The sequence below is a fragment of the Homo sapiens genome, chromosome 1 (assembly GCF_000001405.40).
Source record: "Homo sapiens chromosome 1, GRCh38.p14 Primary Assembly".
Lineage (NCBI taxonomy): Eukaryota > Metazoa > Chordata > Mammalia > Primates > Hominidae > Homo > Homo sapiens.
The window spans coordinates 21,740,610-21,766,755 of record NC_000001.11 but is presented as its reverse complement, the minus strand read 5'-3'; the positions used below and the strand labels follow the sequence as shown (position 1 = coordinate 21,766,755).

The 26,146-nt window shown below is 41.7% G+C and overlaps 1 protein-coding gene and 1 pseudogene across 16 annotated transcripts in view, besides 2 other annotated features; one reads left to right on the top strand and one right to left on the bottom strand.

Annotated features, from left to right (window-relative positions):
• The window catches only part of USP48 (ubiquitin specific peptidase 48), a 104,852-nt gene that overhangs the window by 16,394 nt on the left and 62,312 nt on the right, over positions 1-26,146 (top strand). For 15 of the 16 annotated variants that reach the window (XM_047432030.1, NM_001350164.2, NM_001350166.2 and 12 more), the window contains exons 2-8: positions 8,973-9,093; positions 10,054-10,210; positions 13,637-13,764; positions 14,105-14,229; positions 15,141-15,249; positions 18,485-18,618; positions 19,607-19,689. In XM_047432030.1, coding sequence (XP_047287986.1) covers positions 8,973-9,093; positions 10,054-10,210; positions 13,637-13,764; positions 14,105-14,229; positions 15,141-15,249; positions 18,485-18,618; positions 19,607-19,689 — 857 coding nt within the window. Of the gene's footprint in view, positions 1-8,972; positions 9,094-10,051; positions 10,211-13,636; positions 13,765-14,104; positions 14,230-15,140; positions 15,250-18,484; positions 18,619-19,606; positions 19,690-26,146 lie in introns of those variants that run through there. The other variant, XM_011542264.2, reaches the window with a different exon arrangement.
• Positions 4,775-4,854: an enhancer, noted in NCBI's record as "active region_336". NCBI's record gives its function as "activates an Ori minimal core promoter by ATAC-STARR-seq in GM12878 lymphoblastoid cells {active_cell/tissue: GM12878}" and the evidence as "EXISTENCE:reporter gene assay evidence [ECO:0000049][PMID:35858748]".
• Positions 11,930-12,029: a silencer, noted in NCBI's record as "silent region_388". NCBI's record gives its function as "represses an Ori minimal core promoter by ATAC-STARR-seq in GM12878 lymphoblastoid cells {active_cell/tissue: GM12878}" and the evidence as "EXISTENCE:reporter gene assay evidence [ECO:0000049][PMID:35858748]".
• On the bottom strand, positions 25,561-25,616 carry LOC124904736 (uncharacterized; annotated as a pseudogene).

Genomic DNA, 26,146 nt, shown 5'->3' with positions numbered 1-26,146 from the left:
AGAGGTTGCAGTGCACTCCAGCCTGGGCAACAGAACGACACTCCATCTCATAAATAAATAAATAAAAACTAAGAAACTAAGAGGTGATGAGGAAGAAGCAGAACCTCTGTAAATGACCATTTGGAGTGAAATCCCTACCCCCTTTCCCATTCAAAGGATGAATCTTTGAACTGCATAGCAACTGTGAAATCTTTGATTATAAATTTTCCACTCATCGTGTGTACTCTTAAATGACAGATCATTGGAGATCTACCAAAACAGAACTGAAAGTGTATCTCCTACCTATAGTCAATATATTATAGAAGGAACTTAGTCATTCATACCCTTTGATACCTAGCCTACTACTTTTCTACTCCCTGAACACAATTTTTGACTTGTGGAACATTGTTTTTTTTTGTGCTGTGTCACCTAGGCTAGGGTGCAGTGCCATGATCTCAGCTCACTGCAACCTCCGCCTCCCGGGTTCAAGTGATTCTCATGACAGCCTCTGGAGTAGCTGGGATTACAAGCATTCGCCACCAAACCCAGCTAATTTTTATATTCTTAGTAGAAGTTTAGTAGGGTTTTGCCACGTTGGCCAGGCTGGTCTTGAACTCCTAGCCTCAAGTGATCCTCCCGCCTCGGCCTTTCAGAGTGCTGGGACTACGGGTGTGAGCCACCACATCCAGCCTGGAAAATCTTTTTGTTACAATTTTGGGCATCATTCCAGATTTCTCCTTTCCTTTCTTGCCTGTTGCATCTTATTAGTCCCCAGTTCTATTGATTTCTTCCCATCAATATGCTTGAACTTCCTCCATTCCTATTCCCACTGAATTGCCTTTTTTTTTTTTTTTTTTTTTTTTTTTTTTTTTTTTGGAGATGGAGTCTCACTTTGTTGCCCAGGCCGGAGCACCATGGGATCTCGGCTAACTGCAACCTCGGCTTCGTAGTTTCAAACTATTCTCCTGTCTCAGGTGATCCACTCACCTCAGCCTTCCAAAGGGCTAGGATTACGGGTGTGAGCCACCACACCCGGCCTAAATTGGCTTTTTAAGACCTCATCTTCCACTAGAAAAATTGTTAGTTATGTCTCACACCTTGTTTAGCTTCGGAACGTCTCATGCCTTGTTCAGCTTCGGGCTGTCCCCCCCTTTTTTTTTTTGACAGAGTCTCGCTCTGTCACCCAGACTTGAGTGCAGTGGCGTGATCTCGGCTCACTGCAACCTCCGCCTCCCGGGTTCAAGCGAGCCTTCTGCCTCAGTCTCTGGAGTAGGTGGGACTACAGGCGCGTGCCACCATGCCTGGCACATTTTTGAATTTTTAGTAGAGAACGGGGTTTCACCATATTAGCCAGGCTGGTCTCAAACTCCTGACCTCAAGTGATCCGCCTGCCTCGACCTCCCAAAATGCTGGGATTACAGGCATGAGCTACCACACCCCGCCCGGTCTGTCCTGTTTACTGCTGCCAAAGTGTGTCCCTGGCCTAAAATCACAGCAGATGTCTGCTTAGTACGTCATAACCAAACCTTTTGGAACCTATCCTCTGCCTAACACGTTGGTGTTCTCATACAGTGCAGTCTTGGAACAAAGTACCCATTAAATTATCTGAATTCCTTATCGTACTATGGCATTGCCATTGTGCTGTTATTACTCAAGTTTGGTGGACCTGTGCCCAGAAGTAGAATTATTGAAACAAAAACATTGTTGTCATTTAACATTTTTGAGATGTTTTCTTTAGTTATTTTTCCTGCAGGGTTATATGATATTTTGATTTATAAGAAATATATGCTTAGTCTTTGTACTACTTCTGGCACAGCTCCTAAAACCTTTGGGATCTCTGAAGTGACTAAGTGTCTTTTTGTATGCTAATGAAATGACTGATGGCTGGGAGCTCTTGGTAGCCTCCACATGGGCTGGTTGCCAGGAGAACCAACCACGATGAGAGGTTTAGAACTTTTTAGTCTGACCTCTGGGAGGGGAGAGGACTAAAGGTTGCTAATCTCCAGTGGCCAGTGATTCAATCAGTCATGCCTATGTAATCAAGTCTTTTTTTTTTTTTTTTTTTGAGACGGAGTGCCACTCTGTCACCCAGGCTGGTGTGGGGTGGCACAATCACGATCTCGGCTCACTGCAACCTCCGCCTCCCGGGTTCAAGCAGTTCTCTGCCTCAGCCTCCAGAGTAGCTGGGATTACAAGCACCTGCCACCATACCTGGCTAAGTTTTGTATTTTTAGTAGAGTCAGGGTTTCACCATCTTGGCCAGGTTGGTCTTGAACTCCTGACCTCATAATCCACCAGCCTCGGCCTCCCACTGCGCCCAGGCTTTTTTTTTTTTTTGGAGACAGGGTCTCTCTCTGATGCCCAGGCTGGAGTGCAGTGGCGTGATCTCAGCTCACTGCAGCCTCTGCCTCCCGGGTTCAAGCAATTCTCTTGTCTCAGCTTCCTGAGCAGCTGGGACTATAGGCATATGCCACCACACCTGGCTAATTTTTTGTATTTTTAGTAAAGATGGGTTTTCGCCATATTGGCCTGGCTGGTGTCAAATTCCTGGCCTCAAGTGATCTGCCTGCCTCAGCCTTGCAAATTGCTGGGACTACAGGTGTGAACCACTGCTCCCAGACACTGTCTCATATTTTGTGAAACACTCAACCTCCTTGATCTGTTTTGATAGTTGATAGACACAGGTACACATAACTGTTTTTCTACTGTAAGGAAATTGGCACACACATGATGATAAATGATCCTTGATACCTGGGGCCTACTCCTAAGGAGGGATAAAATGGAGTTAGGGGCATTGGAGAATGACGAATGGGAGAGGCTACAGCCCTCTGTGGTTGGCATTCTGCTGTGCTGCTAAGGCTGGCTTTAGAAGTAACAGCTTATAATTAGAACTGTGATTTGTGTCTGCCTGTCCATCCGTCCTCCCTCCCTCCCTCCCTTCCTTCCTCCCTTCCTTTTCTTGAAACAGAGTTTCTCTCTAGTTACCAGGGTTGGAGTGCAATGGCATGATCTCGGCTCACCGCACCCTCTGCCTCCTGGGTTCAAGTGATTCTCCTGCCTCAGCCTCCTGAGTAGCTGGAATTACAGGCATGTGCCACCACGCCTGGCTAATTTTTTGTATTTTTAGTAGAGACGAGGTTTCTCTATGTCAGCCAGGCTGGTCTCGAACTCCCGACCTCAGGTGATCTGCCCGCCTTGGCCTCTCAAAGTGTTGGGATTATAGGCGTGAGCCACTGCGCCCAGCTGTTATTTGTGTTTGTTAAGTAGATTCTTTACCTCTCCAAGTAAGAGAACAAACACAACCCCGCCCCCCCATATTGGGCTATGTATGAAAGGCTTAGCAACAATTTAGAAGTTTAGAAAGCCCAAGCCCTTTTAATGCAAAGCACCGCCATTGGCTTTTTGGTTCCCACCTGAAGTGTGGCCATAGAGGCTCGGGAGCCATAGGTTTGGCCTGGGGTGGTAGTCTATCACAGGTCACCTGCACTTGGCATTCTGCTGTGGTGGTGTTCTAGCCGACTGAAGACGTATTCAGTGATACCTAGCAAGCAATTAATTTAAGAAAATTTAAAAAGAACAATGCCAGTGTTGTGGGGCCTAATAATACAGATTGCTCCCAGCTTCTCATAGTAGCTTTTGAAAGTCTTATTGTGGTAATATTTAGGCCATAGGTTGTGTTTGCCTTTTGATGCCAGCTTTAGAACCAGTTGAGTATGCATGATTTTTGGGTGGGGACAGGGAGAGCCTACCTTTTCTTCATTGTCTGAATTATTTTGCTATCAGGAACTGGAGACTAAAATCTAAACAGATCCAGTGGAACTATTTTCTGAGAATGATGTCTGTGTTTGACACATGGGAGTATCTGTTTCCCCAGCCAGGTCGTGTGAATTTTTTTTTTTTTTTTTTTTTTTGAGATGAAGTCTCGCTCTGTCGCCCAGGCTGGAGTGCAGTGGCGTGATCTCGGCTCACTGCAACCTCCGCCTCCCAGGTTCAAGCAATTCTCCTGCCTCAGCCTCCTGAGTAGCCAGGATTACAGGCGCCTGCCACCACGTCCAGCTAATTTTTGTATTTTTAGTAGAGATGGGGTTTCACCATGTTGGTCAGGCTGGTCTCAAACCCCTGACCTCGTGATCCACCCGCCTCCGCCTCCCAAAGTGCTGGGATTACAGGCGTGAGCCACCGCGCCCGGCCCGTGTGAAAAATTTTTACCACCCACTTGTCCAAGAGGAGGGAGTGAACAAACAAGACTTGATATTACACCTTTGAAAAGCAGAGTTGAAAGGATTGACAAAATAAGTGCCTACTTTGTTTTAGAGGTATATTTTCACCATGGTTACTGACACTATTTTTTCCTATCTGCCAAAGACCTTTGGGAGAGTCCATTGCCACTAGCTGTAATTTTCTTTCGAAAGAACCTTCCTAGTATATCCTTGTCACTGTTCCCAGGAGAGATTTTCTGTTACTTTTCTCAGTCTCAGAATCAGTTTTGTTTCTTCTTTTTTTTTTTGAGACGAGTCTCGCTCTGTTGCCCAGCCTGGCTGGAATGCACTGGTGCGATCACAGCTCACTGCAAACCCTGCCTTCCTGGTTCAAGCGGTTCTCTCACTTCAGCCTCCCAAGTAGCTGGGATTATAGGCACACGCCACCACGCTTGGCACATTTTTGTATTTTTAGTAGAGACGGGGTTTTGCCATGTTGGCCAGGCTGGTCTTGAACTTCTGGCCTCAAGTGATCTGCCCACCTCAGTCTCCCAAAGTGCTGGGGATTACAGGCAGGAGCCACTGCACCCGGCCAGTTTTGTTTCTTTAACTCTCTTATAGTAGACCTTTCCCATTAGAGATGAGTTATAAGCACTAAAACAAAACCCTAGCTTCTTCTCCCCACAGTGGATGGGTTCTACTTTATTTCATTAATAAGCTTTTTTCCCTCCTAGCTTTGATATAAGCTGACAAAACTGTTCTTAAATTGGTCGAACTTGTTTTCATTTTTATTTTTTCAAAAGTTTTAAAATAGAGACAGGGTCTCACTTTGTTGGCCAGGCTGTAGTGCAGTGGCTGTTCACAGGTGCAATCATAGTTCATTGCAGCCTCCAACTCCTAGGCTTAGGCCATCTTCTGCCTGAGCCTTCTGAATAGCTGGCACTATAAGCATGTGCCACCACACCCAGCTTCATTTTTATATTTTAGAAGACAGTATGTTTAAACTGAACATTAAAACAATTATTTACTTATTTTTGGAATATGTAACACATTTTATTGTTCAAAGTCTGAAAGGTATAAAAAGTGATGGGGTCAGCCTGGGGCAACATGGCAAGACCCTGTTTTTACAAAAAATAAAATAAAAAATTATCCAAGTATGGTGGCATGCACCTCCCAGCTACTCCAGAGGCTGAGGCTGGAGGATTACTTGAGTCCAGGATGTAGAGGCTGCAGTGAGCCATGAACATGCCACTTCAGTATGGGAGTCTCAAAAAAAAAAAAAAGGAAGTTCAGAGTGTTATTTACTTCTGACTTATAGCTGGCAAGTACAGAGATAATCTTTGCCGATAAGGTTGTTTCCAGTTTATAATGTACTCTTCTATCTAAACAAACGGGTGTGTTTACCCCATTTGTAAATAAAAAACATGGCAACATGATATGCAGTGTTTTGTACCTTCCTTTTTTTTTTTCTTTTTTTTCTTTTGAGACAAAGTTTCCACTTGTTGTCCAGGCTGGAGTGCGATGGCGTGATCTTGGCTCACCACAACCTTCACCCTGCTGGGCTCAAGCAGTTCTCCTGCCTCAGCCTCCCAACTAGCTGGGATTAACAGGCATGCGCCACCATGCCCGGCTAATTTTGTATTTTTAGTAGAGACAGGGTTTCTCCATGTTGGTCAGGCTGGTCTCGAAATCCCGACCTCAGGTGATCGCCTGCCTCAGCCTCCCAAAGTGCTGGGATTACAGGCGTGAGCCACTGTGCCTGGCCCACCTTCCTTTTTTCAACTAATGATATCGTTATATATCACAACATTAAAAGCTTTCCCTACCTTTTTTTAAATTTATTTTTATTTTTATTTTTTTTGAGATAGAGTTTTGTTCTTGTTGCCCAGGCTGGAGTGCAGTGGCACGATCTCGGCTCACTGCACCCTCCCGCCTTCCAGTTTCAAGTGATTTCTCCTGCCTCAGCCTCCTGGGTAGCTGGGATTACAGGCTCCCGCCACCACTCCTGGCGAATTTTTGTATTTTTAGTAGAGATGGGGTTTTACCATGTTGGCCAGGCTGGTCTCGAACTCCTGACTTTGTGATCCGCCCACCTGGGCCTCCCAAAATGCTGGGATTACAGGCGTGAGCCACTGTGCCCGGCCTACCTTTTTATTTTTTGACAGCAGTAGTTTTTGTTGTTTGGTTATATTGTAATTTATTTTGTTACTTCCATATAAATTTCCAGTCTTTTACTGTTATCAGTAATCCTTTAGTGGGTATCCTACAGAAATCTGCAGAACTTTGTCCTGTAATGTTCCTTTATAGCAAAAGAAAACCTAAGCTTATGTTACATTCAGTTGTGTCTCTTTGGTTTCCTTTAATCTGGAACTGTTAGTGAATCTTTCTTTGTATTTCATGACACTGACTTATTTTGTATAAAGTCCCTTGAGTTGGTTTGGTCTGATGTTTCCTCATGATTCAATTAAGGCCATGCATCTTTGGCCAGAACATCACAGAAGTGATTCTGTGTTGTGCATTATACCAGAAGGTGTGTGGTGTCAATTAGATTCATTACTGGGTGTGTTAAATTTAAGCATTTGGTTAAGGTGGTGTCTGTCAAGTTTCTCCACTGAAAGTTATTATCTTTCCCTTTGTAATTAACTTTTTCTGAGATACTTTGAGACATTGTAAATATTGTTATTTCTCCAACTTGCCTACGTTAGCATCCGTGATGATCCTTGCCTCATTCCTTTCTGAATCTGATGTATGCCAAATGGAGATTTTTAATTCTGTCATTCCTTCCACTTTGATAGTTGGTTTTCTTCTAAAGGGAAGAGATTTTTCTTCCATCCATCTCACCATGAAATGATGGATTCTTACTTTATTCAGTAGGTTATAATCCTATTACTCATTTTGTTGCTAAATTTTGTTGCCAAATTTGACCAGTGGGACCTCCCCTTCCAGCCAACTCTTGTGCTCTTTTGACATGTCTCCACCATCTTTCAGTACATCATTTTAGGGCACAGTAAGATGTAGGTTCGTTTTCTAATTTCACTGCCCTGGCCTTGGAATCAGCCAGTTATTTCTCCAAGGAGCACGGGATTCTTTTAGTGGGTAATATTTAGAAGTCAGGATCTGTGTTTCAGAATTATTAACCCATGTCTCTATGGAAAAGAAGCCTACTAATTAGAGTTGGCTGTTTGTTCCTTTTGTCTTTAGCCAGAGGGTACTAGTAAATGAGCTTGATAACTGTTTAAGTTACTTTGGTCAGTCACACCCCCTCCCTCTCCCTCCCCCACTCCTGCCTTCCCTTCAGTCTGGATCTTTTATTTAGTTGAAATATGTTTTCTCTGTTTTGAATTTAGGGTTCCTGTCATCCTTGTTGATTCCTTTTTTTTTTTTTTTTTTTTTTTTGAGACCGTGTCTCTCTCTGTTGCCCAGGCTGGAGTGCAGTGGCACGATCTTGGCTCACTGCAACCTCCGCCTCCTGGGTTCAAGCAATTCTCCTGCATCAGCCTCCAGTCTTCAGCCTGTAGCTGGAGTTACAAACGTGTACCACCACACCTGGCTAATTTTTGTATTTCTAGTAGAGACAGGGTTTCACCATGTTGGCCAGGCTGGTCTCAAAACTCCTAACCTCAAGTGATCCTCCTGCCTTGGCCTCCCAAAGGGCTAGGATTACAGGCGTGAACCACCACGCCTAGCCAGTTGATTTATTTTTGTTTGTGTGCATGCGTGAAGTAGTGTGAGAAACAGTCACATGGTCCCAAATTGTTCATTATATGAAAAGGTACATTTCCTTTTCATTCATTCATTCATTCATTCATTCATTCATTCATTTTTTCCAAGACAGAGTCTTGCTCTGTCGCCCAGGCCAGAGTGCAGTGGTGTAATCTCGGCTCCCTGCAACCTCCGTGTCCTGGGTTCAAGGGATTCTTCTGCCACAACCTCCCAAGTAGCTGGGATTACAGGCCCGCACCGCCACGCCCGGCTAATTTTTGTATTTTTAGTAGAGACAGGGTTTCAGGCTGGTCTCGAACTCCTGACCTTGTTATCCGCCTGCCTCAGCCTCCCAAAGTGCTGGGATTGCAGGTGTGAGCCACTGTGTCCGGCCGAAAAGGTGTATTTTCTTTTAACCTTATTCCCACTCATGCTCTGTAGGTAACCAATTTCATTAGTCTCTTGTTTTTCCTTTCTGTATTTCTTTTTGTACAAAATGAGCAGAAATATGTACATGTATATTTTCCTTATATATTTCTTACACATAACAGTATACTAGAGATACTCCTTTGCATTTTGCTTTTTTTACTTAATAATGTGTCCTGGATTTATAAATTACCTTATATCTGTTCATAGATATCTTTTTCATGCTGTGTGTGTGTGTGTGTGTGTGTGTGTGTGTGTGTGTGTTTTACAGTTGCATAGTACTCTGCCATATAGATGTACCATATTGTCTATTTTTGGGCATTTGGGTGGCTTCCAATATTTTGCAATTAACAGACAGTGCTGTAATGAATAACCTTATGAGTGAGATTTTGCATTGTTGGAGGTATAGCCTAAGGAACAGTAAATCCTCAGAAATGAGATTGCTAGGTCTAAAGGTAGTTGTCTATGTAGTTTTGTTAGTGACTGCATTTCTACCAGCAGTATATGCATGCTTTCTTCTCCACACCCTCACAAACTGAGTGTCTTATACTTTCTCAGTTTTGCTAATTTATAGATGAGAAGTGGTATCTCATTTTAGTTTTAATTTGTTTGTCTCTCATGAAACTATGGTCTTTTAAAAATTAAAGGTTTTTTTTTTCCCCTTAGACGAAACTGCAAAGGAAATCCGAATTGCTTGGTTGGTATTGGTGAGCATATTTGGTTAGGAGAAATAGATGAAAATAGTTTTCATAACATCGATGATCCCAACTGTGAGAGGAGAAAAAAGGTAAACCATCATTTTTTAAGCGATTGCTATATGCTGTTTTTTGTTTTTGTTTTTGCTTTTGTTTTGGGCCTGTGATCAGAAAACTCTACTGATTTCAGGTAACCTGTGCAGCTTTAAGATAAGCAGTAGAACTTAAGACTCTAAGCCACTTGAATTGGAACACTTCTTAATGATATGCTTTAAAACAGGCAGCTGCGTAATTCAGTAAGCCTTTAAATAATAGTTTTAGTTTGAATGCTGATTCTATGTTTGCTTTAACATTGCATGTTTTATTTTGAAATCTTAACGCCTCTTTAAAGGAGATGGTAATTCAAGGGAACAAACTCATGATGATAGCACTTTGCTTTCTAGGGCTTGTATTTTATATATAATTTTGCTTTTTAAAAATATACATTAAATTTTCTAGACATAAATCTTAGCATTCACGAAATATCCAAGTTTGTTATATATAGATATTTTAATAAAATAATAATTCTTTGTAAGGTCAGGAATTCCCAACCTTATCTTTGGAAAAAGTTGCAGCCAGTTCCCTCTACCACCGCCAATCTTTAAAATCTCTAGAATATAAAGGAAGTTTTCTGCATAAGTTTTACTTTGTCATTCTGCTGAATGCTGGCAGTTTAGAAATACAGAAAACATAAAACCTATATACGCTTGTTCAAAACCGATCTTTTCTAGAATCCACTGTTCTAATTTTAGATTTAAGTGGCTGGAGAAGACGATATGCTAGAGATGAGCAGTGATGCCGTCCGAAGTCTTTTTCACTCCTGTGGTCAACCCAAAATGGGGCTTTCATGAAAATTATGCCCCACCTCCAGCCAAGAGAAACTTAAGGTGGCTATACCATGTTGGTTGTGACGGTCTTACACATTTTTAATCTGAAAATTTAAGAATAATGCTTAGAAATTGGTTGTTTAAAGGAAAATGGGTTTTATAATTATGAATTTTGTATTTTTGTAGAACTCATTTGTGGGCCTGACTAACCTTGGAGCCACTTGTTATGTCAACACATTTCTTCAAGTGTGGTTTCTCAACTTGGAGCTTCGGCAGGCACTCTACTTATGTCCAAGCACTTGTAGTGACTACATGCTGGGAGACGGCATCCAAGAAGAAAAAGGTGGGTGGAAAGGGGTGGGGGAGAGCTCTCTTCCTGAACATTTTTTTAAACTTTTTTTTTTTTTTTTTTTTGAGTCTTCCTCTGTTTCCCAAGCCAGAGTGAAGTGGCGCCATCTCGGTTCACTGCAACGTCTGCCTCCTGGGCTGAAGCGATTCTCCTGCCTCAGCCTCTTGAGAAGCTGGGATTACAGGCGCCCGCCACCACGCCTGGCTAGTTTTTGTATTTTTAGTAGAGACAGCGTTTCACTATGTTGGCCAGGCTAGTCTCGAACTCCTGACCTCAAGTGATGTGGCTGCCTCGGCCTTCCAAAGTGCTGCGACTACAGGTGTGAGCCACTGTGTCTAGCCTAAACTTATTTTATTATTATTATTATTATTTTTTTAAGACAGTTTCACACTTGTTGCCCACGCTCTAGTGCAATGGCACAATCTCGGTTCACCACAACCTCCGCCTCTCAGGTTCAAGCAATTCTCCTGCCTCAGCCTCCCGAGTAGCTGGGATTACAGGCGTGCACCACCACGCCCGGCTAATTTTGTATTTTTAGTAGAGACGGGGTTTCTCCATGTTGGTCAGGCTGGTCTTGAACTCCCGACCTCAGGTGATCCACCCGCCTCGGCTTCCCAGAGTGCTGGGATTACAGGTGTGAGCCACTGTGCCTGGCCTAAACTTATTTTTTTTATAGAGACAGTGTCTTGCTCTGTTGCCCAGGCTGGTCTTGAACTTCTGGCCTTAAGCAGTCCTCCTGTCTCGGTCTCCAAAAGTGCTGGATTACAGGCATGAACCATGGTGCCAGGCCTTGAATAGCTTTTACCAGCCTGCAAAACCTTTGCACCCCAAGGAGTAATATTTTATCTTTATTTTACAGATGGTATATTGACTTGCTGAAAGCCACAATTGGTAGTAAGGATACAAATATTCAGAGTCTGATTAGAAGACAGAAGCTACACAATAATTTGAACAGAAAAGGTTTTTTTTTATTGTTTGTTTGTTTTTTGAGACAAGATCTCACTTTTTCGCCCAGGCTGGTGCGAGCACAGCTCACTGTAGCCTCAACCTCCCAGGCTCAAGCAATCCTCCTGCCAGAGCCCCCCCGAGTAGTTGGAACTACAGGCATGCACCACCACCTCTTGCTAATTTTTGTGTTTTTTTTGGAGACAGCATTTTACCATGTTGCCCAGGCTGGTCTCAAACTCCTGGGTTCAATCGATCCACCTTCCTTGGTCTCCCAGAGTGCTGGGATTACAGGCATGAGCCACAGCACCTGGCCTTGAATAGCTTTTACTGGCCTGCAATGCTTTTGCAGGCCAAGGAGTAATATTTTATCTTTATTTTGAAGATGATATATTGACTTGCTGAAAGCCACAGTTGGTAGTAAGGAGATAAATATAGTCCAGTTAGAAGACAGAAGCTACAGAATAATTTGAAAAGGGAAAGTTGAGAATTAATAACAGAATTAATTAGAGAAATGAGGAATTGATTAATAAGAGTTAAAGATTAAAGAGGATTTTAAAGAATACAAGGACAGCAGATACAGGGAACAACCTGTATCCCTGGGGCTGAAAGAGAACATCCAACGGATAGTCTGTCACCCCCATGGCCCAGGCTTGAGATCCAGACCTCTTTGGACACTGCTGGGATGCACTGGGTGGCTGAAAAGGTGCTGAGATGCCTCCCTGGGAATCCCTACTAGAAACTGTCCATGAGAAGGTGCTGGGCCCTGGAACCCCCTACAGAGTCACCTGAGAGAGTGTCCGGGAGGCCATTCACAGGGTGGTCATTCGAGAGGAAATGCCTCACTGGAGGCACTGTACTGTGAAGCTATCAGAAGAGGTGCTGGGTAAGCTGCTGACTACTGTTAGGGGCAGGAACCTGGAGCCCTGGAGGAAGCTGATCTGCAGCAGGCTGGTGACAGAGGCACAACCAAACCCTGCAGTGCCCTTCACTGAGAAGCCTTACCTTCTTGATAACTGGCAAAGGAGAAGTATTTGCAGAGCCCATCTCTCATCACTGAGCAGGCAAAGAAGGGTAGATTTGGAGCTGAGAAGCAATAAGTTAATAACTTAAAGAAGATAAGACTTCTGTCTTCTGGGCTCTCAATATCCATGCTTTCTGCTTCCATTCCCTGCACTAGCTCATTAAAACTTTCAACTCTAAAATTCTACGGTTTTGTATTCTTCACTTAAGTGTGAATTGCTGTGCTTGAGATCCCAAGTCCACATTAACTGGACTTTAAAAAATCATGACTAGACACTGTAGTCATGATTGCTGTTGTTGCTTTAATACAGGTAGGCTCTTGCCTTTGGGGAGTGTATATGGACAGTCCTGGCTGCCTCATGACTTCCACAAAACATGGTTGCTAATTCTATTTCTTTTTTTTTTTCCTCCCAGATGGAGTCTCACTCTGTTGCCCAGGCTGGAGTGCAGTGGCACAATCTTGGCTAACTACAACCTCCGCCTGTCGGGTTCAAGTGATTCTCCTGCCTCAGCCTCCCGAGTAGCTGGGATTACAGGCGTGTACTACCATGCCCCACTAATTTTTGTATTTTTAATAGAGACGGGGTTTCGCCATGTTGGCCAGGCTGGTCTGGAACTCCCGACCTTGTGATCCGCCAGCCATGGCCTCCCAAAGTGCTGGGATTACAGGCGTGAACCACTGCTTCCAGCCTTGAGCCACTGCGCCAGCCCTGTCTTTTAAAGTTTTTTTTTTTTTTTTTTTTTTTTTAAAGAGTCTCGCTCTGTCATCCAGGCTGGAGTGCAGTGGCATGATCTCTGCTCACCACAACCTCCACCTCCTGGGTTCAAGCTATCCTTGAACCCCAGCCTCCCAAGTAGCAGGGATTACAGGTGCTCGCCACCACACCCAGCTACTTTTTGTATTTTTAGTAGAGACAGGGTTTTACCATGTTGGCCAGGCTGGTCTTGAACTCCTGACCTCAGATTATTCGCCCGCCTCTGCCTCCCAAAGTGCGGGGATTACGAGTGTGAGCCACCGTGCCCAGCCTTGTTTTTTGTTTTTGAGAGTCTCACTTTGTTGGCGATCTCACCTCACTGCAGCCTCTTCCTCCCGCGCTCAATAGATGCTCGTGTCTCAGCCTCCCAAGTAGCTGGGATTACATGTGTGCACCACCACACCCGGCTAATATTTGTATTTTTTTTAGTGGAGACGGGGTTTCTCCATATTGGCCAGGCTTGTCTCAAGCTTCTGATCTCAAGTGATCTGCCTGCTTTGGCCTCCCAAAGTGCTGGGGTTACAGGCATGAGCCACCGTGCTCAGCCTATTTCTTTTAAAGTTTTAAAATGATAATAAAGTATTAATCTAGTTTGGATGTAGAGATGTTTATGTTCTCATGTGAAGAGGAAGTACCATTTTTTGGAAAGAAAAGTAGCACCTTAAAAAACCCCAAATCTATATTTTTGTTTTAATAGATTATGAGCCTCAAACAATTTGTGAGCATCTCCAGTACTTGTTTGCCTTGTTGCAAAACAGTAATAGGCGATACATTGATCCATCAGGATTTGTTAAAGCCTTGGGCCTGGACACTGGACAACAGCAGGTAAGAACTGAATTTTTTTTTTTTTTTAAATATTCAGAGGTACCCAAACATCCTAAGCATGTTTATAAAGGGAGATGAAGTAGAATGCTTTTTAAAAATTAAATTTTTTCTATTTTGAATGAAAACCTTTATTTACTGTCCAATAGTTTACACATTATACTTGATTCCATTTATGGAAATTCATATGGGGGCACAAACTGATTGAACATAGCTGTAGCCCCTGTTTGAAAATGCTAAGTTGAAAGTATAGGTAGTTTCTGGAATGTTGAATGTATTACTATTTGTAGTAGAAGTTGAAAAGCAAGATATGATTTTTCTTTTCATTAACCTAAACTTGTAGGATGCTCAAGAATTTTCAAAGCTCTTTATGTCTCTATTGGAAGATACTTTGTCTAAACAAAAGAATCCAGATGTGCGCAATATTGTTCAACAGCAGTTCTGTGGAGAATATGCCTATGTAACTGTGTAAGTCTGTTTCAACTTTTTCATGGTACATTTTATTCTAAGACAGTTGCTCATATGTTAACTATTTTTCAGTGCAGTTCCAGGTTGTAGCTTTAGTGGTTTATCATGGGACCTGAAATATTTATAGTAATACATTTCCATGGGAACATATAAACAAGTGAGTTGGTAATTGCAGTTGCACCCATCCAGGTGTTAGGAACGGTGTCTGGGTGAGCTCTTGCAGTCTGCTCTTGCTTTATGGCTGTGTGGTGTGAGCTAAAGAGTAAGATTGGAACTGGCTAGAATACTAAAAGTAAATGTAAAATGCCTGTTAAAAAAATGTGCATGAGTACAATATACAACATTTGGGTGATGGTTACATTAAAACCTAGACTTCACCACAGTGCGATATATTCATGTAACAAAACTGCACTTGTACCTCTTAACATTTATTTTAAGAAAGTTTCCCAACGAATGTTTAGCTTCACCAGGCACTTTGTTTTTATTTCTTTTCTTTTTTTTTTTTTTTTTGAGATGGACTCTTGCTCTGTTGCCCAGGATGAGTGCAGTGGCGTGATCTTGGCTCACTGCAACCTCTGCCTCCCAGGTTCAAGCGATTCTCCTGCCTCAGCCTCCCGAGTAGCTGAGATTACAGGAACGCGCCACCACATCCGGCTGATTTTTGTATTTTTAGTAGAGATGGGGTTTCACCGTGTTGGTCAGGCTGGTCTCGAATTCCTGACCTTGTGATCCACTCGCCTTGGTCTCCCAAAATGCTGGGATTATATTTCATTTTTAGTATACATAATTTCTGTGAAGGAGAACTAATGAAAGTTATAAATGCTTTTTTCCATCTTTCTAGGATGTAATACAATATAACTTTGTTGCTTTTCACACTCTGATCTGAATTTTGTCGTTCTGTTTTATTATAGTTGCAACCAGTGTGGCAGAGAGTCTAAGCTTTTGTCAAAATTTTATGAGCTGGAGTTAAATATCCAAGGCCACAAACAGTTAACAGATTGTATCTCGGAATTTTTGAAGGTATTCAAATTTTGGTGTATGTATTGTTCCTGCCCATTAACAGTTAAATGCTGTTCTGAATGCTATTCTGTTTTGATTTAGTGGCTAGAGCTTTTATTGTGTCAGCTTTTTCTACATAAGAAGCATCTGTAATGATCCAGAAGACACTTTATGAAGTACCAAAGCAGCCTGTGTCTTAAAAATAATTTTGCTTATTTCAAGTTATTTTATATGTAAAGTTATGTATGTGTGAGAAGATATTATTCTGTGATTGTGGGTAGTGGGGTATTGAAAGAACTCTATGCTGAGTTATCATAAAGGTATTTTACCTTGTTGTCTAATGAAAACGAGAATGTGCTAAATATGAAACTTTTTTACATTGATATGGTCATTCTGCTTTCTGTATATTTAGATTCATGTGGAGATAATTCAGTGATTCCTTTCTGTTCTGAGTGGAAAACTGCTAAGAGGAACCCTTTGTTGTCAAGCATGAATGTATACATAGTGTAATAGACAAGCTTATTATCTAGCTAGCTAGCTAGCTGTCTTCAGATATTTTTTGTGCTTTCTTACTTCCTCAGCTCATCCATGGGCATGCCTGAAGTAGTCATTGAATTCATTTCGCTGAATTTTTTTTTTTTTTTTGAGATGGAGTTTCTCTCTTGTTGCCCAGGCTGGAATGCAATGGCACAATCTTGGCTCATTGCAACCTCCGCCTCCCGGATTCAAGCGATTCTCCTGCCTCAGCCTCCTGAGTAGCTGGGATTATAGGCGCGGGCCACCATACCTGGCTAATTTTTTTTGTGTGTGTATTTTTAGTAGAAACAGGGTTTTACCATGTCGGTCAGGCTGGTCTCAAACTCCCAACCTCAGGTGATCCGCCTGCCTTGGCCTCCCAAAGTGCTGGGATTACACACGTGAACCACCGCGCCTGGCCAATGAATATTTATTGAATGCTTACTGTGTCAGGCAGTGTTTCAGCTGTTGGGGATTAGCCTTTATGGAGCCTACAAAGTAGTGGTGTAGGCACAAGGGAGGGACAGTAAAATAAAGTGCGAATATATAGTGGGTCAACTACAATAAGGGCTGTGGAGAAGAAGAAAGCAGGGAATGTGGCGCTGGGCAATGTGCTGGGGAGTAGGCTGGAGTCGGTGGAGTTTGAAATAAAATGATTGAAGGTGAAGGGGTGAGCCCCGTTAGAAACAAGGAGAAGAGTGTTCTGGGTAGATGAAACAGCAAGTGCAGAGCCCAAAATGAGAATGTGTCTTGCCTGGTGGATTGAGGAACAGCCTGGGTGGGGGGCGGTTAGTGTGGCCGAAGTGAGTAAATGATAGAAGATAAAGTCGTGGAGGTGACACAAGGGCCATATCAGAGAGGGCCTAGTAAACCTTTGTCAGAAGTTTGACTTTTACTCTGTGTGAGGTTGAGATGGCATCAGGGTCATATGCGTAGGAGTGGTACAGTCTGTTTTAAGGGATAACTATGGGTGCTGAGAATAGGCTGAAGATGGATTGAGGGCAGATGGGAGTGCATGGTGTCTTGGACCACGGGGTAACTGAAGAGGTGATAAGCACCATTTGGCTTTTAGATATATTTTCTAAGAGCAGATAAAATTTGCAGGCCGGAGCCAGATGTGGTGGCTCATGTCTATAATCCCAGCACTTTATGAGACTGAGACAGTAGGATCATTTGAGAACAGTAGTTTGAAACCAGCCTAGGCAACATAGTGATAGACCGTCTTTGCAAAAAATAAAAAAATTAACCAGGCTTGGTGTTGAACAGCCATAATCCCAGCTACTCAGGAGGCTGAGGCTGGAGAATTGCCTGAGCTCAGGAGTTTGAGGCTGTAGTTAGCTATGATTGGACCACTGCACCCCAGCCTTGGTGACAGAGCAAGACCCTGTCTGTAAAAATAAAATAATGAAAAAAAAATTTTTTTTTAATTTGCAGACTGGATGTGGAGAGTAAGAGTAAGAGGGGAGTCAAGGATTACTAAGGTTTTTGGCCTGATCAACTGAAAGAATGGAGTTGCTCTAACTGAGATAGGGAGGACCTGGGAGGAGCAGGGTTGAGAGGAATTAGGAGTTTGGCTTTGAGCATGTTACGTTTGAGAGGTATAGTTCCAGGAAGAAGTCGTGGCTGGATAAAATCCCCAAGGGAGTGGGAGAGAGACAAGGACTGAGGCCTGGGACATTCAAATGTTAGGGATCAGGGAGGTAGGAGCAGCTGGCACAGGAGTCCCTGGAGGAATGCCAGTGAATTAGGAGGCAAGTCAGTGAGTGTGGTATCCTGGAAGCCAAGTGAAGAGATGATGGTACCAGTATTGCATTACTTACAATATGGTAAGTACAATATGGTACAAAAGCTTGAGCTCAGGAGTTTGAGTCTTCGGTTAGCTATGATTGGCTGCAATTAGCTTTATAGAAATATAAAGGCAAATTTTAAAAAGAAACCACTATCAGCTAAAATGTTTGATTTTTCTACACGTCTCTTTTTAGCTTTGTCTCATGAATATGTTTCAGTAATTTTAAACAAATATGTATATAATTTTGTATTCTGGTGCCCATATATCGTTTTTACACTACCCTCCTCCCTCCTGTTTTTTTCTTCATTTTTTTGAGACAGAGTCTCGCTTTGTTTCCAGGCTGGAGTGCAGAGGTGTGATCTCAGCTTACTGCAAGCTCCACCTCCCGGGTTCAAGTGATTCTTGTGTCTCAGCCTCCCGAGTAGTTGGGACCACAGGTGTGTACCACCATGCCTGGCTAATTTTTGTATTTTTAGTAGAGACGGGGTTTCACCTGGGCAGCCAGGCCGGTCTCGAATTCCTGGCCTCAAGTGATCCACCCACCTCGGCCTCCCAAAGTGTTGGGATTACAGGCGTGAGCCATGTTGCCCAGCCTTTTTGCTGTCTTTAAATGAATGTTGCATCAAAATACATGTGACATTTCTTTTTAAAACTTACTTTAGAATTCCCAGAAGTGGGATTACCAGGACAAAGAACCTAAAACAAGTATTTTTAATATCATACATTTGGGAAATAGGCACATCAGTTTTAAATATCAGTGTATTCAAATTGATAATGTCACTGCTGAACAGTTCCCATTACTTTTGTGTGTCCATTATTTATAGTAGCTGTTTTTAAGTAGCTTAAGTGAGAGCTATTAACTGAAATGAAATTATACTTTACATCAAGGGTTTTATCACTTGTTTTAAACCCATCTTCTTTTTAAAATTAATATGTCTTATTCTTGATCAGGAAGAAAAATTAGAAGGAGACAATCGCTATTTTTGCGAGAACTGTCAAAGCAAACAGAATGCAACAAGAAAGATTCGACTTCTTAGCCTTCCTTGCACTCTGAACTTGCAGCTAATGCGTTTTGTCTTTGACAGGTAAATGTGTGCAAATATTAGTGTTTGTTGTTCATTGTGGTCTACTATGTACAGACTTTACCATAGATGAGATGATAAAATGGTTGTAATTTGAAACTCTAGATTTGAGGATGAAAGTTATAGATGGAGGCTGTCATTTTGAAATGTCGATATTTCATGATTTTATCATAAAAAATTTTAAAGAAGCCAACCATATATAAATGATAACTAGAAAAGTAAAAAATCCTTACTTTTTTTATTCTAAGAAAGTATTAAAAACTGCAAGGGCCGGGTGCGGTGGCTCACGCCTGTAATCCCAGCACTTTGGGAGGCTGAGGCAGGTGGATCACCTGAGGTCAGGAGTTCGAGATCAGCCGGGCCAACATGGTGAAACCCCGTCTCTACTAAAAATACAAAAATTAGCCGGGCGTGGTGGCAGGCGCCTGTAATCCCAGCTACTGGGGAGGCTGAGGCAGGAGAATCACTTGAACCCAGGAGGCGGAGGTTGCAGTGAGCCGAGATTGCACCATTGTACTCCGGCCTGGGCAACAAGAGTGAAACTCTGTCTTGGAAAAAAAAAAAGAAAGAAAAACTGCAAGTAATTGAATTACCCTGACCTTCTGTATTGTCCTTTATTTTAAATAGAATAAATTTTGTACTCATTACACCCCCGCCATGGGAATGTATTTTTCATTTTATAATTAAAATCAAGGCAATGTTTGCACATGTGCATGTCTTCTGTAAAGCAGGATAATCTGTTTTGTGATTAAGTTGAAACTTCTGGAAAATAAGCTGTGTTTGGAATCAGCACTTCGCATTCACATTTTTTAACCTCATATTTGTCCAGCTATAAAACAATATTCTGTTTACTTCTAATTGTACATGTTTTGGAGGAAGATTGTGAAGTGAAAGCTAGCTACTGTTGAGTTTATTAAAATAGCTAATAGAGCTTATATATTGTATTATGATTGTTTTAAATGTAAATATAATCAGCTTTCCTCTTGGTTAGGCAAACTGGACATAAGAAAAAGCTGAATACCTACATTGGCTTCTCAGAAATTTTGGATATGGAGCCTTATGTGGAACATAAAGGTAATATTTTTACTGAGGAGTAAACATTATAATGCTCAGAGACTCTAACTTGTGATCGGCTTGTGATTAATATAGAATAGCAGTCAATTGCCAATTTTTGTTTGCTAATCTCTCTCTGGGAACCTCTGTCTGGGAACAAAGACTTTTTTAGGAGAGCCAAGATGTTAATTCCATTTTGTGTGAGTAAGCATATAGCAAAGATGAGGTGGTTCATCGATATGTACAGAATTAAGGGTATAAAAATAATTTGTAAAAAATGAAAAAGGTATTTTACTGTTTCTGAACCCGCACTTGCCACCTTAGTTTCAATACTATTATTTATCATTTCTCAAAACTAACAGTCTCCAAGCGCCTCTATTCACTTTTTTAAAAACGTTGTCCCAGAAACATTAGGTGGCATAATTCCAGTATTTATGCTTTCATTTTTCATATCTGCAACTACTGATACGCCCTAGGATGCTATCATTGTTTTAACAAGAAATAAGTACTGCTTTTTTCTTTTGGTAGTCTTCATCCTACCAAACAGGTTGAGTCTTACTAGAGAAAGGACTGTTTTACTTCCCTTTAAGGTTGATTGTAGTACTTATAAAATATTATGTATGTATGTATGTATTTTTGAGACGGAGTCTTGCTCTGTTGCCTAGGCTGGAGTGCAGTGACACGATCTCAGCTCACTGCAACCTCAGCCTCCCTTGTAGCTGGGAGGCTACAAGGGAGCCCAGCTAATTTTTGCACTTTAGGGTTTTGCCGTGTTGGCCAAGCTGGTCTCAAACTCCTGGCCTCAAGTGGGACACCTGCCTTGACCTCCCTAAGTGCTGGGATTACAGGCGTGAGCCACTGCCCCCAACCTGAAATTTTTAATGTAGAAATTATTTTATAAACTCTATCTCTTTCCAAAAAAATAAAAAATTTCTAGAGGCAGCTTACAATGGAAGCAAGCTGTAAAAACCTTTAAGAGACATTTCTGGAGGCAGCTTACAATGGAAGCAAGCTGTAAAAACCTTTAAGAGACATGATTGGGAAAGTTGGGGAGGAATGTGCTAAATAAATATGTAAGCTTTCAAATGTATGATACTCTTCAGTACTGTACTTTAAAATTTGTACCTCTGTGGAACAAGGAAACTGTTTTCAACTTCAGTTTTGGACTTCAATGTTAGATTGTTAAATTTTGTTGAATAAATAAACTTAGCTATAGTTCACTTTATGTAGTAGTTTGCTTCCTGCCTCCTTTGTTCAGGCAATTGAAATTGAGGAAAATCTAATGGGTTAGTGGCTTCCCAGTCCAGAAACTTAGGAGATGTGAAATGAGCACTTTGCTTGACTTGACTGGATGAGTTTGAATTGTTACTATTACTACTTACTAAGTTTATTATATATTTGCCCAGTTTATGCTATAAAGAAAATATTTATCAAAAGGACGTGTTAGATCAAAACCTGTAGAAATACTTAATTTTGGTATGTTGGTTTACTAAATATAGTATTTTTTATTTTTTATTAATTTGTTTTTGAGACAGGGTCTGGCTCTGTCGCCCAGGCTATAAATTGCATTGATGTGATCACGGCTCATCACGGACTCAGCCTCCTGGGCTCAAGCTGGAACTACAGGCATATTCCACCAGGCCCAGCTAATTTTTAGTTATTTTTTTTTAGAGACGGGGTCTTGAACTCCTGGGCTCTAGTGATCCTCCTACTTCAGCCTCCCGAAAGTGCTGGGATTACAGGCATGAGCCACCATGTTTGTCTCCTTAATTTTTAAATAAATGAATGAATAAATAAATAAATAAATATTATCTACTCATTTTAGAATTGTTAGGACTGGTAAAAGCAATCTAGTGGTTTATAGTTATAGGCTTGTCTTTTACACGCTGTCGTAATGCTTGCTGTACCTTATATAGGTAGAAGACTAAAAACAATTAACTTTTGTTAATTGCATAGGATTTGTTCTAGATAATTTGGGAAATTCAGAAAGCATAAAGAAAAGAAATACAAACCATATGTAATTTTGTCATCCAGATAATTAGTATTTATATTTTCCCGTACCCACACATAACCACACAAATCTGTACACACATATCCATGCAAAGCTCAAAAGATGGATCCAAAAGAAGATCTGTTGTTAAAAGGAGAATCCACCTGTTTCTTTAAATGGTGAGACTGCAGATATGCAGACATCTTTAGAATGAGGGATCCTCATTTTTGAACATTAGCCCCTGACTCTCAAACTCAAGTCTTGCCATATTCCTTGGGGACTTAAAAGCTTAGCATTTTTTTTTTTTTTTTTTTTTTTTTAGAGATAGAGTTTCATTCTGTTGCCCAGGCTGGAGTGCAGTGGCATGATCTCGGCTCACTGCACCCTCCATCTCCTGGGTTCAAGCAATTCTCCTGCCTCAGCTTTCCGAGTAGCTGGGATTACAGGCGCCTGCCACCATGCCTGGCTAATTTTTTGTATTTTTAGTAGAGACGGGGTTTCACTGTGTTGACCAGGCTGGTCTTGAACTCCTGACCTCAAGTGATCTGCCCGCCTTGTCCTCCCAAAGTGCTGGAATTACAGGCGTGACCCACCGCACCTGGCCTAAAAACTATGTTAATTCTGAAGTTTTTTTCTTTTTCTGTTTTTTTTTTTGAGACAGAATTTTGCGTCGCCCAGGCTGGAGTGCAGTGGTGCAATTTCGACTCACTGCAGCCTCCACCTCCTGGGTTCAAGCAATTCTCTCTGCCTCAGTCTCTCGAGTAGCTGGGACTACAGACGCATGCCATCGTACCTGGCTAATTTTTGTATCTTTAGTAGAGATGGGATTTCGCCATATTGGCCAGGCTGGTCTCGAGAACTCCCAACCTCAGGTGATCTGCCCACCTCGGCCTCCCAAAGTGGTGGGATTACAGGTGTGAGCCACCACGCCTGGCCTTAATTTTAAAATTGATTAGTTCAATGAATTGATGAATATAAATCCAGGTTATCTGCAAGAATGGTAATGTCAACATTTTTAATGCTGTCTATTGGTAATAAAGACAGCTACTGCTGATACCTGTGGATTATTGTCTTCATTAATGATATAGGGAATACTATTAAGATTCTTTTGTAGACGCTCCTTCCAGCTGACCCAGTAGCAACTTCTTTTTTTTAGTGATCTTGCCTTCCACCCTCGCTCAGCCCTTACTCAGTGCCTTACCTTGCCTTGTCCTTCTATAGTTGAAGTTTCATGTATCTCAGCATATTTTAGTTTTTTCTTTTTAAATTTTGAAATATATCATATTCCTAAAAGTTCAAAACACAAAAATGCATGGCTTAGTGAATTATGAATTATGTGTACTCCCCAGATCAAGAAAGAAAAATATTTCTGGTACCCCGGAAGCCTCCTTTTGTGCCCCTCCCAGTTGCACAGTTAAAACCACCTTCCTCCCCTTAAGTGTAACCACTTATCTGACTTTCATGTGGAATGCTTCTTTTATTTTTTTTCTTCTTTAGCATTTTACTATATAAGCATGCATCCCTAAACATAGCTTAGTTTACTCTTTTTTCTCCTGGGATATTGCCAGCCACAGCGTAACCCATAATTAAATCTTACTCTGCTGCCCCTGCTTCTTCACCTGGGTTATTGAAGGTAGTGGGAGAGGAACCCCACTGGTGATGCCCCCAGATCCTGCTGAGTCCGTGATAGTTAACAACCTTATCATACTTTGTTCCTCCCAGACCCTGCAATGTCTTTGGACATTTATATGTTTTCAGCTGAGGTTTCATCCATTGGACACTCTTGTGTTTCTGAGAAGTAGGTCCCGCTGAGGTTGCTGGGACCCAATGTGCTCCCATACTCTGGAGGATGACGCATTTCTAGAGAATCCTGGGCTTTGGTTCCTCTTCAGCCTCCTTTCCTTTTCTCTTCCCCTCTTCCTTACCCACAGCCTGCAAAATGAGGTGCTTTTGACCAATTAGGGTCAATAGAGCCACAAAAAGAAATATATCACCTTTCTCAGTTATTGATATATTTAAAATGAGTTGTCATCAGTATTTGTTCATAAATGTATTAAAGGTATCCAGAATATTAAAAAAAAATTTTTAAACCACTTTAAACGTTAAAAACACCCAGTTTTTATAATCCATTACTGACCATGTTGGAATATTGTTCAGGCTGATCTCTCTACCCGAGCTGGTTATAGCAGTGTTGTTTTGTTGCTTCTGTTCATGGTTGTCTTTGACTGCATGCTGGTTATTGCACATAGAGAATTATTTATGGGGATTCCCCTAGGGCTAGGATACATGCCATCTCCTCCACAAAGCCCTTTAGGTTTATTTCTGTCAGGCATTTGGGGCCTCTGCTGGTTAGGTATGATTACAGAGTTCAAGGCTTGAGGTTCCCTGGCTTACACAGACTGGAAGAACCTGGTATGGGCAATCTAAGACCATCACATCTCCCTCCTTTTTATTTCTACCGCTCTGTTCAGGACTCAGGAGTTTTCTTTTTCTTTTTTTCTTTTCTTTTCTTTTCTTTTTCTTTTTCTTTTTCTTTTCTTTTCTTTTTTTTTTTGAGATAGAGTCTCGCTCTGTCACCCAGGCTGGAGTGCAGTGCCGCGATCTTGGCTCACCGCAACCTCCGCCTCCCAGGTTCAAGCGATTCTCATGCCTCAGCCTCTCGGGTAGCTGGGATTACAAGTGTGCACCACCACGGTTGGCTAATTTTGGTATTTTTAGTAGAGACAAGGTTTCACCATGTTGGCCAGGCTGGTCTCGAACTCCTGACCTCAGGTGATCCACCTGTCTCAGCCTCCAAAAGTGCTGGGATTACAGGCATGAATGAGCCACTGTGCCCAGCCAGGAGTTCTCTTTATGGTTCCCTGAGGTTAGGAAGATAGGCTTTTTCTGGCTCACCTTTAACATGAAGTAACGGGGAGAGTGCAGTGCAGTAGAAAGAACAGTGGAGGGTGATTCCAAGTAAACCCTAAAATTGGAGTATGAAAATGCCCCCTAGGGTAGCCTGGGCCAGCTAATACTAATAATTAACTAGAAATTATAACATGTATTCTTAACTCTCTAGATAACATCTTTACCCTCAATGATCTCAAAACATTAAGCAATCGACACTCTCCTAAATTATTTTAAGATGGTCTTGCTCTGTCACCGAGGCTGGAGTGCAGTGTAGCACGATCATGGCTCACTGCAGCCTTGACCTCCCAGACTCAAGCAATCCTCCCACCTCAGCCTCCTGAGTAGCTGGGACCACAGGTGTATAGTACCATGTCTGGTTAATTTTTTAAGTTTTTATAGACTGGGTCTCTCTGTGTTGCCCAGGCTGGTTTCGGACTTACGGCCTTAAGCAGTCCTCTTGCCTCGGCTCACAAAGTCCTGGGATTACAGGCGTGAACCACCACACCTGGCCTATTTTTCATATGTATTTTAGTTCTACCTTTTTTAAAAAAGAAACTTACAGACTATCTTATATAGGAATCTTGGTGTTTAGTTTACCCACCTCCTTTGTTTATCATTCTTTGCATTCTAGACCTTCCATCTGGAAGAGTTTTAAACTATTGAATTAGAGCTTACAAAATTCTTTTAGTAAGGGTCTGTGGGTGAAAGATTCTTTTCACATATTATTGTCTGAAAGTGTCTATTTTGTCCTTGCGAAATTCATTTTCTCTAAGCATGGGTGGTTACTTTCACTCATTGAAGATATCATTGAAGAAGATAGCATTCTGTTGCCTTGGGGCATCCGTTGTTGCTGTTGAAAAGTTGGTTGCAGTCTAATTCTTGTCTCTACAAGAGGCCTGTTTTGTTTTGTCTAATTTTAAGACCTCTTCTTTGGTTTTGGTATCTTGCAGTGTCACTGTGACCAATTTTGGTTTGGTTTCTTTTTTAATTTTGATTCTTTAAAAATCTTTTCTGGTTTTCTAGTAGGAAAACCTGCTAGACAAATTCTAAAAGAGCTGTAACACTTGGTTTGATTTTTAATTGATTTATTATTCTCACCTAGGGCATCTGAAAATTTTCCAACTATTACCTCTGAATGCTTTTTCTCTTCTCCCTTTCCTTCTGGAATGCCAGTTAGATATGTGTTAGATTTTCTTACTCTATGTTGCATGTCGCCCAACTCTTCATTCATTTGTCCTGCATTCTGCATAATTTCTTCAGCTCTACCTTGTACTTTATTCGTTCTCTGTTCAGGTCAACCTGATCTGAGGTTAAACCATTTATAGAGTTTTGACTGTCGGTGACTGTGATTTCCATTTCTCGGAGTTTGATTTGGTTCTTCGTCATTTGATTTTCATTTTCTGTAATCTCTATTCCTCTTAATTTCATCATTTATTTCTTTAAACATACTTAAAATTTTATTTATGTATTTGCTATTTCCACTGACTGAGGTGAAAATCTTCACCAGTTTGATTTTGTTGCTGTTTGCTGCCTTGCAGTTAGAGTGACTTGTGATGTGACATGTGTGTGTTTTGATGGTACTCATTCCTTAGGATT